The sequence below is a fragment of the Homo sapiens genome, chromosome 3 (assembly GCF_000001405.40).
Source record: "Homo sapiens chromosome 3, GRCh38.p14 Primary Assembly".
NCBI lineage: Eukaryota > Metazoa > Chordata > Mammalia > Primates > Hominidae > Homo > Homo sapiens.
Window position 1 is genome coordinate 141,869,678 of NC_000003.12, and position 14,791 is coordinate 141,884,468.

A 14,791-nucleotide genomic window follows, 5' to 3' on the forward strand; every position below is an offset into this window, starting at 1 on the left:
CCCGGCCTCAAGTGATCCACCCACCTTGGCCTCCCAAAGTGTTGAAATTACAGGTGTGAGCCACTGCACCTGGCCCACTATCTTTAAATATGATCTCTAAACTCCCTATTATGTATGAAAAAGAAACCAACATTTCCACATCTTCCTTCAACTCTCTCTTCTCTTCTCTTCTCAGGTCTACTCCTGCCTTCTGTCAGCTCCACCACTACTTTTATATTGTCAGAATTTACAACATGGACATTTTGCTCTACGACTGGTCATTCCTAAGTATTTAAAGTCAATAAACTGCAATTATATTGTTTTGATTATGTAAACAGGATTCACTGCAGAACAAAGTGCATCAGTTAGAAAAGGTAAATCTCTATCACTAATCTATGCCACTAGAAAGAGGATGCACCAAACATCAGGGCTGAACGATTACATCTTCAAACACTCAATTAGTGTGCTTTATATTTGGAACATAATTTTCTGCTGTTTTCCATTGCTTTTCATTTTGCTTCTTAACAAAAGAAGCACATGCCTTCATCATAGGACTAAATTTATCCAGGTTCTTAATCCCACACTCCGTAGCATGGACTCCACTTTCTGCTTGCAGGCATTCTTCTCTGTTGGAAACCAGTTGCTCGCTTGCCCTGCCAGACAGCTGTCATTCTAGGCCTGCCCGACATTGCACTCCTGGGTTAGGACTAGTTTTTCTTGGATCCCAAGTTTTTCTCATTCTTGGATTCCTTTGTCTTTTTACTGGCCCACTCTTGATTTTTTTTTTTTTTTTTCAGGAAAACTTTATGAGACATGAGTTTCCTGAGTTCTGACATGTCTGAATATGCGTGGCAGCTTGGCTGGGTATGGTATTCTGAGACTTATTCCTCTAAAGGTGGCACTCCACTGTCCTCTGGCCCTGAGTGTAATGGGAAGACTGGTGCTGTTCAGACGTTTGTTCTATTGTAGTTGGACTGTTGTTTGTTCTCTGGAAGCTTTCAGGATCCTCTATTAGTATTTTCTGTACTGTAAAATCAGAAGGTTATGGTTAAGTATGAGCCTATTTTTATTTCTTATGCCTGGCACCAGCATACATTTTCAGGCTGAAGACTCCTGTTCTTACCTCTAGGCAATTTTCTTCTATTATTTCTCTCATTATATTCTCCCCTGAATTTTCTTGTCTTTCTTCTGAAAACACATAAAGTGTCAATCCAGGAACTATTAGTTGAATAGCATCCTTCCTGGATTAGCCCTATATGTGTTTGTACTTCTAAAAATATTTTCATTTCCTTTTGTCTTTCTGCTTTACGCTTTGGGGGATTCCATTGACTGCTCCATTCAGTCCTTATATTGATTTTTTAATTTTAGCAATTATATTTTTAATTTCCAATAATTTTCTTCATGTCACTGATTGTGCCTAATATATATATGTATGTGTATATATATGAGTGTGTATATAGATCTATACATACACATCTATATGTTGATTACATGTATATAATCAACTTATCTTATGGATAAAGTAGCTTAGATTTTGCTGTGGTCACTATTTAGAATACAAGAAAAATTCTCTTATGTCCCCAGAATTATCTGTTTCCTATGAGGTCAGCTTTTTAAAATATCTCCTTTTAAAAGTGTTAAATTTATACCTTCTTTTTATTTTTGAGACCGAGTCTCACTCTCAGCTCACTGCAACCTCTGCCTCCTGGGTTCAAGTGATTCTTGTGCTTCAGTCTCTCAAGTAGCTGGGATTACAGGCATGCACCACTACGCCCAGCCAAATTTATACCTTCTTTTGGTTGTTTTTCAAATAAAAGAACCACAAAAATGTGTATCAGGAAAATTGGCCATCCTTTGTCCCCAATTTCTTTTTCACATCTTCTCCAATTTTTAAAAGCATTATATTATGAAAAATTCCAAGCATATACAAAGCAAATATAGTATAATGAACCTCATGTACCCATCACCTGTTGACCTAAAAGGAAGAAGCTTAGGCAAAATTAATGTAGAGAGTTTATTTAGGCCAAGGTTGAGAAGTGCAGCCCAGGACACATTTCCAGGTTGTCTTGGCGAGTGCTTCAGGGAACAAAGGAGAGGCTCAAGTTTTTAAAGAAAAAAGGATGAATCAGGAGAAAGGGACAATTGCAAAAGTTGTTCATCAGGAATGCATTGGTTTACAGAAATGAAGTGGCTTCAAGAGATAATGATTTAGTTCAAGGAAGAGTTTCATTCCATGTGTTTAATTTCAATGCCTCTCTGGGCCTGATAATTTAAAGGGGCTAGTCTTCCTCACATAAAAAACTTCTTTTTGGCCAGGCACAGTGGCTCACATCTGTAATTCCATATTTAGGGAGGTCAACTCAAAACTATCGCTTGAAGTGAAGCCAGAAGTTCAAGACCAGCCTGGGCAACATAGTGAGATTCCCATCTCTACAAAAATAAAATAAAAATTAGCCAGATGTAGCCGGGCCCGGTGGCTCACGCCTGTAATCCTAGCACTTTGGGAGGCCAAGGTGGGTGGACCATGAGGTCAGGAGTTCGAAGGAGTTCGAGACCAGCCTGGCCAATAGAGTGAAACCCTGTCTCTACTAAAAATACAAAAATTAGCTGGGCATGGTGGCACGCACTTGTAGTCCCAGCTACTCAGGAGGCTGCAGCAGGAGAATCAATTGACCAATTGAACCTGGGAGGTGGAGGTTGTGGGGAGCCGAGATTGCACCACTGCTCTCCAGCCTGGACAACAAGGCGAGACTCCATCTCAAATAATGATAATAATATTAATAATAATAAGTCAGGTGTGGTGGCATGCCTGTAGTCCTAGCTACTCAGGAGGCTGAGGGAGGAGGATCACTTGAGTACAGGAGGTGGAGGCTACAGTGAGCTATGATTGCACCACTGCACTCCAGCCTGGGAAACAGGGCAAGACCCTGTCTCAAAAAAAAAGTTTCTTCTTTTTTTTCACACACCCAGCTTCAGTAACTCAACATTCTGCCTTTTTTTTGAGACAGAGTCTTGCTCTATCACCCAGGCTGGAGTGCAGTGGCATGATCTAGGCTCACTGCAACCTCCACCTCGTGGTTCAGGCAATTCTCCTGCCTCAAACTCCCGAGTAGCTGGGATTACAGGCGCCCGCCACTGTGCCCAGCTAATTTTTGTATTTTTAGTGGAGACGGGGTTTCATCATGTTGGCCAGGCTGGTCTTGAACTCCTGACCTCGTGATCCGCCCTCCTCGGCCTCCCAAAGTGCTGTAATTACAGGCTTGAGCCACCTCGCCCGGCCTACTGTAGAGGTATTAATGGTATTGGGTGGTGGAGGAGAGGTGGGTATTTGAATCCAGGTGCTGTCATTAGCTAGCTTCTTAACCATGGATGAGTTAATTTCTCTAATTTCAGTAACTGTAATTAGAGAATTAATTACAAACTTAATTACGATTTTGTAAATGTAATTCCCTCATTTACAAAATTAGGGAAACAGTACCTCCCCATTAGGGTATTTGTAAAGACTGAGAAATAAATCACACTACGCAAGTAGTACAGGGCCTGGGACTTACTTAATTATTTATAAGAGATCATTATTATTACTGTGGAATTCCTAAGTATCCTCTACAGGTAGGGCTGTCAGATTTAGCAAATAAAAATACAAGATAGGCTGGGTGCAGTGGCTCATGTCTGTAATCCCAGCACTTTGGGAGGCCGAGGCGGGTGGATCACCTAAGGTCAGGAGTTCGAGACCAGCCTGGACAACATGGTGAAACCTTGTCTCTACTAATAACACAAAAATTAGCCAGGTGAGGTGGCACATGCTTGTAATCCCAGCTACTTGGGAGGCTGAGGCAGGAGAATCGCTTGAACCCAGGAGGCAGGGGTTGCAGTGAGCCGAGATTGCGCCATTGCACTCTAGCCTGGACGACAAGATCAAATTCCGTCTCCAAAAAAACAAAAACAAAAACAAGATTTCTAGTTAAATTTGAATTTCAGACAGACAAGAATAATTTTGGGGGAGTAGCTATGTCCCAGATATTGCATGGAATGTATACCAAAAAAAATCCATCATCCATCTGGACTTAAATTTAGGTAGGCATTCTGTATTTTCTCTAGCGAAGTAACTTCTCCTTCAAAGGAGAAACTTAGAGTAAAATAAACTGACAGAGAATGTAACTGTAATTAAATGTTATCTGCTCATACTTGGTAGACCAGTGGTTCCCAGTACACACAGGATTTTCTCTTCCAGGTAATGCTCAAGTTACCATATATCAGAGAAACAAATAGCTTCCATGTTTTGGAGTAGAATGTAAAAATTTCACCAAACTGAAATCTGTTGGACCTAGTTACTATACTGAACTAGTCATGTGTTTCAAAACTGCTTACTGAATTATATATTTGTATTTAAATCCTTATTTGGAAAACCACAAAGCACTAAATATGAAAGTCATATTAATGACCATTAAACATATACAAACTAACAGGCTGGGCGTGGTGGCTCATGCCTGTAATCCCATCACTTTGGAAGGCTGAGGCGGGCGGATCACCTGAGGTCAGGAGTTCGAGACCAGCCTGGCCAACATGGTGAAACCCCATCTCTACTGAAAAATAAAAAAATTAGCTGGGCGTGGTGGCGTGCGTCTGTAATCCCAGCTACTTGGAAGGGTGAAGCAGGAGAATTGCTTGAACCCGGGAGGCAGAGGTTGCAGTGAGCCAAGATCCGAGCCACTGTACTCCAACCTGGGCGACAAGAGCAAGACTCCATCTCAAAAAAAAAAAAAAAAAAAAAAAAAAAAAAAAATATATATATATATATATATATATATACACACACACATACACAAACTACAAATCCTTGACAGCAGCCAATATCTTTGAAACACTATTTCATAATATTCTTGTTTACCACGTTTTCTTTGTGTGCCAGGTGATTAGTTATCAAAGCACGCTTATTATTAGCGCACACACACATACATGCACACACACAATGTAAATGAAGCGGACAGGTTTTGTTTCATTCTAAATATCTTTCTTTCTTACCTAAATGAAAAAGCCTGTTATCAACTCTACCAGTATTTTAGGTTTCCTCTAACCTGTAGTTATATTTGTAATGAGTTGAAAATAGTTAACTACTTCCATTCTTTTTTTTTTTTTTTTTTTTTTTTTTTTTTTTTTTTGAGACGGAGTCTTGCTCTGTCGCCCAGGCTGGAGTACAGTGGCGGGATCTCGGCTCACTGCAAGCTCCGCTTCCTGGGTTCACCCCATTCTCCTGCCTCAGCCTCCCGAGCAGCCGGGACTACAGGCGCCCGCTACCACGCCCGGCTAATTTTTTTGTATTTTTAGTAGAGACGGGGTTTCACCGCGTTAGCCAGGATGGTCTCGATCCTGACCTCCTGATCCGCCTGCCTCGGCCTCCCAAAGTGCTGGGATTATAGGCGTGAGCCACCGCGCCCGGCAGGTAACATTCTTTAGTTCTTTCAATCTTGCCTATGATTTAAAGAAGTGCATTCCAGTCTGCTTGCATGGTGCTTTGCTATTTCTAATACTCATTTCATGCCAAACTCTCCAACATGCTTCTACAAATCTTTTGGTGTCATTAGCTCAAAACGTAAATGGATTTTGGTTATTTTCAATGTCATAATTATAAATTTAGCTTTTTTAAGCGTGAAAAAAGCACTTTATAGGAATATATTTTACCACTTTTCCATTTGTGGGAGGTATAATTCATTATTTCTTGCTTTGGTAAGAAAAGTGAGGAAAAAGGAAAATTCATCCATTTGCAGGCTGTTTAAACTTCCAGACAGATTATAATTCATCACTCCAAACAATAAGATGGCTATTACATTTCTCCATAATTTTTATTTGCTAATAAAACGGAGGCAGAGCTTTTTTCTAAAAATAAATAAATAAACAACAACAACAACAACCTCCCCCACCCCGCACCTTCTGTGCAAATTCCTATAAAGTCTTTTATCCTGTCGCTGAGTCTGAGGGCACCCCCCCTCCCGTACTCGTCAGCTCCATCTCGCGGAGGAAAACGCTACCGGCACCCTCAGCTCCGCCCAAGGGCCGCGATCTCTACAGGGGAGATGAAAAGCCGGCGACACTACACAGGCGTGGACCCTCCAACGAGTGTTCCTTTCCTGTGGGTTAAGAGTAGGAGCGTCTGGGCAAAAGCTGGGAGCTTTCAGTTGCCAGGACCCTTGGGAAAGCACGTATTTAGATTTCATTGATAAATTCAACTGAATCCCGAGAAAAATTATACTCCATTCACTGGCATATTTAGAACGGAATTCCCATTGACCCGAGGCTCCCGGTTGAACCCTTCAAGGGAGCCAAGCGAGGACGTTCTCAGAACAGCAGTGCACCGTGTACATTGTGGGAGCCCCGCGCGATCCCCCGCAGAGCGTCCTGTAGGAACGTCACAGAGCCCAGAGAGCGTCCTGTAGGAACGTCACAGAGCCCAGAGAGCGTCCTGTAGGAACGTCACAGAGCCCAGAGAGCGTCCTGTAGGAACGTCACAGAGCCCAGAGAACGCCTGGGGACGGTCGGGGAGGCAGTTCGGGGAGGGGACGATTAAGTTCCCTCAGAGAGGAAGCCGCGGGCCGACTGGAGTCGTTTTCGTGCTCTCCGCACCCGCCCGCCGCGGGTAGCATCTTCTCAGCGCCCCGGCGCCCAGGAACGCCCAGGAAACCCAGTCCTCCTCCTAAGCAACCTGCGGCGCGGGGACGCCCGCCTTTTGCTATTATTATAAACGTGCGTGCGACTAAACCTTCGGATTTTTAGACTTTCTTCTCGCTTCCTCTGACCCAGGCTGAGGGAGCCCCCGAGGCTACTGCGGGGCGGGGCCGGGGCGGGGTGGGGCGCCCTCGCCGCCTCAGGCAGCGCCCCGGCCGCTGGCGGGAGGCGGCAGCGGCGCGGGCCGAGCGGCGCGGGGATTGGCTGCGGCGGGCGGAGACGTCAGGCTCCCGCGGCCCAAGCGGCCGCCCGGCGCGGCGCGGCGCAGTCGGCTCGAGTACTCCCCGTAACGAGGAGGTGTTCTCGGCCGTCCCACCCTTCACTGCCGTCTCCGGGCTGCGCCGCCGGAGCCGGGACGCGCCTCCGCAGCCCTCGCCGCCTCCATCCCCGCGGCCGCAGCTCCTCTCGCCGTCCGCGCGCACACCATGACGAAGAACGAGAAGAAGTCCCTCAACCAGAGCCTGGCCGAGTGGAAGCTCTTCATCTACAACCCGACCACCGGAGAATTCCTGGGGCGCACCGCCAAGAGCTGGGGTGAGCGGGCAGCAGCTGGGCGTCCGGGGCCGGCCTCGGTCCCGGGGGCGCCGGGCGCGGTCTGGTGGGAACGGAAAGGCGGGAGGCGGCTCCCAGCGCCGGGGCTCCCGACCGCCCGACCCTAACCCGGGCGGCGGCGGCGCAGTGCGGCCCCATTCATTGCTCCCCGGGCCGGCCGGACTGGCCGCAGCTCGCTCCCGAAGCAGCGGGGCCCGCGGGCAGCCCGGCCGGGCCGCGCTGGTTCCTCCCTCCCTGCTGGGAGCGGGGCGCACGTGCTGCCCGGGCCTCCCGCCCGGCGCGGCGCCGGAAGCCGGGGACCCCTGCCCGAAGCCGGGCCCCGAGAGTGCAGGAGCCGAGCCCCCGGGCCTCCTTTGTACGGAGCGCTCCGGCCCGAGAGGCCCTGGCGGAGGCGCCCGGCCCGCTGAGCGGTTCGGAGAAGCCAGACCCTGCCCCACTCCAGGGGAGAGGAAATTTCCACTCCCGCCGCTATCTTGTGACTCGTCCACGCTGCCACCCCGACCGGTCGGAAGAGTGCGACTGAGTGTTAAGTGTGGGTGTGGGTTGCTTAAACGTGTAGCGGTGAGTTAATCACAGAAGTACATTGTACAAGAAAATGCACTTGAATTTGGACAGTGAAAAGGCCCTTAAAAAGGTTGGTTCCTCCCGGATTCCTTTTTAATTACAGAGGTTTTCTTCCTTACAAATTTGCTTCTTTGGGGAAAGTAAATCCTGTCTGAACAACACAGGTTTTTTTTTTTTTTCCCGTGTCTTCAAAACAGGAGAGTGATGGTTGTATGTTAGCAGATTTTTTCTATGCGTGAGCTCTTTGTTTTAATATATTTAAACCATCTACCGTGTAGAGTAGCTTTAGGATGCCTTTTTTTCCTAAAATTGTATCAATCTCTGAATGCAGGCTAGAGCTTTTTTTTTTTTTTGCCTTTATACTTAAGTAAACTAATTTTACCTTTTTAAATCCTTTTGAAACATTTTGTTAGTGGGTCTTGAAAGACCATTTCTTTCTGAGTGGGAATAAATCTCGAGAGCTTAGAACTATTTGGGCACAACATTTTTAGGATAAGCATGGAGAAATAAGCTGTGACTCAGAAAATAAACTGTTGGTGCAGACTGAAATGGACTCCTTCAGGGTGAAAAGGCGACTTGAAGTCTTATCACAAGCTGAAAGGGGCCTTGGAGGATTTTTAGCCCAACCCCCACTTTAGAGATGAGAAAAATGAGACCCAGAGAGGTTGTGATTTTTGCCTTGTGTAAAATTACATATGCCACAAAGCCAAGAAAAGAACCCAGTTCTCCTTTAATCCTAGTCCAGCGGTTGTATTATTTTACAGATGCCTTGCCTAACTGCATGGTAATCACTCATGATTTTTATTTAAATTGCTGTTTTCTTTTGGGAACCCACTAGTGTGATGAAGAAATAAATCTTGCATCCAGACTTACATGGGAACAAAAGATGAACATTTATAAAGCTTAATTGCTTGTTTCTAGAGTGTACTAACTTTTTGCTGAAGAAATTTTTGAGTGGTGGAGAGAGATTAATTTTGATAGGCTACCTTCCTCCCTTTCTCCCTTCCCCAGTGCTTCCTCATTTCCAGAACGGAGTAACTCCACTTTGTGTTAGAATGACATTTCTTACTGCAGATAGTGCTCTTCAACCTTTGTATTGTATGACCTAGGGTAGAGATTTTATTTTATTGAGTCAATGCATTTAAATAGATAACATGCACAAATAAATAGAGAGCAATGTGTAAGGACTGTAAAACTAGTACAAGTGAAGTTGGGATTCATTTTGGAAGGATTAAGTCAATCTCTTCAAAATCGATAAGTATTACTCTTATCAGTAAATTTTTTGTTTATTGTAATAATAGTAAGTCAGTGAAGAATGGCATATATAGGTGAAAATTAACCATAATCCTGTCCCAATGTAAGGGTATCCCTCTAAGGATATGTGAGGGAGTCGTGAGAGGAGGCCGAAATCCATATTCAGCTTGCCAGGCTGTGTATCCTAGACCATGGTTGGGTCTGCCTAGAGAAGGGGCACCTTGTTCTAATTCTTGCAAAGGCAGGATCAGTTTGGAGAGCTCTGTGCCTCTGGGGATATGTCTGCCAGGAAGGATTCTTTTTTTAATTCTCTTGAAGGGACTGTATGGGCTTGCTGCCAGATGTCATCATACCTCAGAGATACTATTAACATTCTGGTATATATGTTACTGAATTGTGTATAACATTTTTTTTAAAACAAAAGGATCATAAAGTGTTGTTTTATATTCTGAGTATATTGTGGGCATCTTTCCATGTTACTAAAGATTTTTAGACAGGTTTCCCTATATTCACCCTTTTCATGTACATTTTTGCACATTTATTTCCTTGGTATATATTTATACCGATGGGATTTCTAGGCCATTCATATGTACTTTTTACATTTTGAAAACTTGTTTTCATGTGCTTTCCAGGAAGTTTCTAACAATTTATACTCCCAACGGTATGTAGTGGTGTCTCATACCTTCATCAGCACTGAGGCTATTTTTACCTGTGTTATCTCTTTTAAAACCTTACATTTTTGGGGCCGGGCGCGGTGGCTCACACCTGTAATCCCAGCACTTTGGGAGGCTGAGGTGGGTGGATCACTTGAGGGCAGGAGTTCAAGACCAGCCTGGCCAACATGGTGAAACCCTGTCTCTACTAAAAATGAAAAAAAAAAAAATTAGCCGGGTGTGGTGGCACCTGCCTGTAATCACAGCTACTTGGGAGGCTGAGGCAGGAGAATTGCATGAACCCAGGAGGTGGAGGTTGCAGTGAGCTGAGATCGCACCACTGCACTCCAGCCTGGGCGACAAAGCAAGTCTCCATCTCAAAAAAAAAAACCTTACAGTTTTTGGTAACAGCTTTTTTTTTTTTTTTTTTTTTTTTAAGAAAAACAGCCTTTTGTCATTTTGCAAATTTTTTTTCTAGTTGTCTTTTTGACTTTTTTTAATCAAATTTTATGTAGGTGGTGGGAGAAAAAGATTATGTATTTGTTGTAGGGGGTGGAAGGAAAAAAAATCACATCTTTTTTGACCTTGTAAAGTTGCTAGGACTCCTGGTGTGTCTACCCCCAGGATTTTATCATTCATTTAAGATGTTTCCTGGTTTTATTTTTACACATTTAAGTCTTTAGTATGTTTGTCTCATTTTGATCTAAGGTTCCTCTCCAAGTGCATTGGATACATTAAAAAGCACACATATTTAAAAGGTAGTTTTGCTATTTACATTTTGGATAAAGTGAAAATGTTGCAAGTTACATTGCATTGCCTTATTTAAAACAGCTACGTAAAGATTTTGAGTGGCCGCTTTACTGTGTATTTGGCTAATATCTTACAGGTGGTTACAGCAGTTTCAAAATGCTTATATACACATAAGTTACTTCATGTGATTTTCACAGTAACGTAAAGCCAACTAGTTGGGTGATCCAAGTGTACTTAGCACTGGTTTTCAAGCTGAAAAGTAAGTATAAGTCAGCAATAAATAGTTGCCATTTATGAATACACAGGACAAAGAAAATTGAGCACCTAGTGGCTGATGTTTGCAAAATATTAAATAACTTAAGTTCATTGAATACAATTAGAGTCAAATTAATGAAGCTTAGAGATCTAGTGTTATTTAAACTACTAGTAGTGGGCCAAGTGTTGCCATTAACATTTTTTTAATGATGAAATAGAATAGTAAAAATATGTTTATTTTACCTAATAGGTTCATTCTAGCTTTAAAAAAAGTGTTGTTTCATGAAGCTTTTGTGTATTTTGCATATATAGATACCCCAGTGTAAACTGTATTTGTTACTTTGGCTCATAGTCCAAAAACTCTTGAAAGCCACTAATCTAGCCCAGTGCCTTCATTTCATAGGTGGCAAAATTAAACCTATGGGTCATCTGATTTGCCAAAATTCACTCAGGGAGTTAGTGATAAAATCCTTGGGGCTTCAGACTCCAAGGCCAGAGATTTTTTAAAAAACAAACCAGGCGGGACATGGTGGCTCATGCCTGTAATCCCAGCACTTTGGGAGACTGAGGCGGGCGGATCACCTGAAGTCAGAGTTCGAGACCAGCCTGGCCAACATGGCGAAATCCGTCTTTACTTAAAGTACAAAAATTAGCCCGGCATGGTGGCGGGTGCCTGTAATCCCAACTACTCTGGAGGCTGAGGCAGGAGAATTGCTTGAACCCGGGAGGTGGAGGTTACAGTGAGCCAAGATCGCGCCACTGCACTCCAGCCTGAGCGACAAGCTCAGGACTCCACCTCCAAAAAAAAAAAAAAGAAAAGAAAAACCAACTATGCCATGATGTGTTGTCATTTAATAACATCTACTTGTGAGCTTCTTTGGGGTTCATTATCTTTATTAAGGTGGTCTGTCAGTAAATGCTTTGTATTAATATTAACTTAAAACTCAAGTCAGTGATTTCCAAGCCTAGTCAGAATTCTGGACCAAAACTGTTAGCACCTATATTTTGTTTGTGTGCCTTTTCTTTTACTATAGTTCCATGAAGTGCCATTTTCTCAGTCACTTCTGGGTCATGGCTCAGTAATTGTTCTGCTTTGGAGATCAGGCTTCATCCCATCTGGGGCATCTGACAGTAGGGGAGAAGGCAGATGTGTTTGTTTTCCATTGTCTGTCACATAATTTTTGTAAGATGGTGTTCTTTGTCCTGTGGAGTGTGCCATTAACCCATTTATGCTGGAGGTTGCAATTTTTAAAATTTTTGCAATGAGACCTTGGCAAGGACATTGAGCAGTAGGATATAACTCCCACATGCTTAGCGTTCCAGTAATGGAACACAGGCATAAATGGAAGCTTTACAAACTTTACAAAAATGTGCATCACTGGGAAAGTAACAGGACTTGCCTTACCCTGTGTGCAGGCTATAAACGCAGGCCAATGGTACATGTGGTGACAGCAGCAGAAGAGAAGGGCAGGTACTGAGCCATTATCTAGCAGGAGAAAGTACTTCCTGGATTGTCCAGGAAGTAGTCCTGTGGTGGGAGGGAGAGAAAGGGTAAGTGTATGTGTTGTGTTACAATACCATTGTAATTATGGTAGTACGAGTGCTTTAAGATTATTAAAGAGCCTCTCCCCACCCCTGATGTAATTCGATTTCTTTGAAATTGACTTTTGGATTTATATCTATACAATTAAACTAGTTGTATTAAAAGAAGTCTTAAAAGCCCTCCTGTCTATAGTAACAACTTTTCCATGATTTTATCATCATTTGATTAAGGACCAGTCATTTAACACTGATTGTGAAATAGGAGGAAACACCCATTTAACCTTGAAAGATAAATTTAATTATTTTCTAATTTTGCATTCATTCTGTTGGTTTTGAAGAAAAGTCACCTGTAATCTTTAACCACTTAATATAACCACTATTAACATTTTATGTCTTTTTCCTATGTATAAATAAGTTTTTAAAACATACCTAAATACCTGATCTTATCATTTAACATTTAAGGAGAATGGTCTTTATTCCTCTGCCTTTTTCCTAAATGTTGATGTGCTGGAGGTGTCCTTGGGTCTGTCACCTTTATGGTGACCATACATACTTCCTGTTGAATTTATCTAGTCTGGTGGCTTAGTTACTATCTCTGTTGGGACTCCCAAAGCTGCATATCTAATCATACAATTTTGTTTTGTTTTGTTTTTTGAGATAGAGTTTCGCTCTTGTTGCCCAGGCTGGAGTGCAATGGTGCGATATCGGCTCACCGCAACCTCTGCCTCCCGGATTCAAGCGATTCTCCTGCCTCAGCCTCCCAAGTAGCTGGGATTACAGGCATGCGCTACCATGCCTAGCTAATTTTTGTATTTTTAGCTGAGATAGGGTTTTTTTCCATGTTGGTCAGGCTGATCTCAAACTCCTGACCTCAGGTGATCCACATGCCTTGGCCTCCCAAAGTACTGGGATTACAGGCGTGAGCCACCGCGCCCGGCCTCATGAGTTTTTAATGTTCTTATAACCACCTGCCTATCAGAAATCTCCAGTTGGATGTTTCATAGGTTATCTGTTCATATAAATCTGTGTTGTTCTCAAGGGCTCCTTAGCACGACATACAAACTCTTTAAAATCTCAGTGGCTTACTTCTCTCCTGTCATCTCTCTCTACCATTCCACATAGTTATTTCCTACTCCTTCTGGGCTGTTTCCTAGCTTCTGGGCCTCTCATCCCCTTATTCCATGTTGGTCTGGCTGATCAGATGTCAGCTTTGATAGTCTGATACCCAGAAAACATCTTTGAACTCCTCTTTGCATTAAGGCCAGGTGCAGTGGCTCTTGCCTGTAATCCCAGCACTTTGGGAAGCCGAAGTGGGCGGATCACTTGTGGCCAGGAGTTAGAAATCAGCCTGGGCAACATGGTGAAACCCTGTCACTACTAAAAATACAAAAAATTAGCCAGGTGTGGTGGCGTAGTGAATTTTTGCAATCAGACTTTGATAATGACCTGTAGTTGCAACTATTCGGGAGGCTGAGGTGGGAGGATCACCTGAGTCCAGGAGGTCGAGGCTACAATGAGCTGTAATTGTGCCACTGCATTCCAGCCTAGGTGATAGAGTTAGCCTATCTAAAAAAAAGTTAAGACTCAACAAAATAAAATAAAACCTTTTTCTATCATAGCATTTATAACTTTATATATTGTTGTCATTGCCTATTTACTAGACTATAATCTTATTCTTGTCTTATTCCTCTTTGATTCTCTAACCCCTGGCCTGTCCTAGCACTTGCTAGGAATGTAATACAAACTGGTTGAATGAGCAGTACTATGAATGTTTCCATGAAGTTAGTCTTCTGCAGTATTGTTTTTAATGGCTTCACAGTGTTTGACGGTATTGGTGTACCCATAGTATAATTGTCCCCTCAATTTTGGGGCATTTTCCTTTTTCTTTTGTTAGAGTACTGATGGGTTTTCATGGAAGTTCAGTGTTCAAAAGAAGCTTAGTGATTATTCCACTTAACTTTCTTATTGGAGACTCAGCTGGGTTTGTGACATGCCTGGATCACGCATCTGATAATAGTGACAGAACCAGGGCAAAATTTTATTTAGGTTTGCTTCCTGCTTTATTGCTCTTTTCAGCTTCTTATACTGCTTTTATGAGACCCTCATAAAGTCTTTTTTTCTTTTACCTGCTCTCAAATTTAATGGGAGTTTATTTAATAGTGCCCTTCTTCCCTTATGGGGTGCTATTACTAATAATATTTCGGAAAATTTTTTTTAACATAATAACCTCCCACATACCTGTTTAAACTTTGTTACTGAGTCATTTGTGGAGCTAGCTCTTATTTGTGACTTCTTAGGATTTTGCTGGTGCTGTGGGTAAGATATGACTTTGGAAGTGACCTTCCTGCAAGGCATGGGGTACTTTTCTTTTGGTTTTTGCATGTTGGCAGTATCTGGCTCATAAAAAGTGGCCTTTTACATACTCATACTCCTGCTCCCACTCCCTAGCTCTCTAACCATTCCTTTCCTAGTTCCTTCTTGTTTGCTCTTCCTGTCTTCTAAGTGTTTGTGATGGTTAATAT

General features: G+C 43.1%; 1 protein-coding gene across 1 annotated transcript in view, besides 3 other annotated features; it reads left to right on the plus strand.

Moving 5' to 3' along the window:
* Positions 5,861-5,920: a silencer, noted in NCBI's record as "silent region_14780". NCBI's record gives its function as "represses an Ori minimal core promoter by ATAC-STARR-seq in GM12878 lymphoblastoid cells {active_cell/tissue: GM12878}" and the evidence as "EXISTENCE:reporter gene assay evidence [ECO:0000049][PMID:35858748]".
* Positions 6,791-6,920: a silencer, noted in NCBI's record as "silent region_14781". NCBI's record gives its function as "represses an Ori minimal core promoter by ATAC-STARR-seq in GM12878 lymphoblastoid cells {active_cell/tissue: GM12878}" and the evidence as "EXISTENCE:reporter gene assay evidence [ECO:0000049][PMID:35858748]".
* The window catches only part of ATP1B3 (ATPase Na+/K+ transporting subunit beta 3), a 49,907-nt gene continuing 42,081 nt past the window's right edge, over positions 6,966-14,791 (plus strand). Inside the window, exon 1 of the mRNA NM_001679.4 lies at positions 6,966-7,233. Within this exon, the coding sequence (NP_001670.1) occupies positions 7,125-7,233 (109 nt within the window). The 5' untranslated portion in view covers positions 6,966-7,124. The remainder of the gene's footprint in view (positions 7,234-14,791) is intronic.
* Positions 7,191-7,760: a silencer, noted in NCBI's record as "silent region_14782". NCBI's record gives its function as "represses an Ori minimal core promoter by ATAC-STARR-seq in GM12878 lymphoblastoid cells {active_cell/tissue: GM12878}" and the evidence as "EXISTENCE:reporter gene assay evidence [ECO:0000049][PMID:35858748]".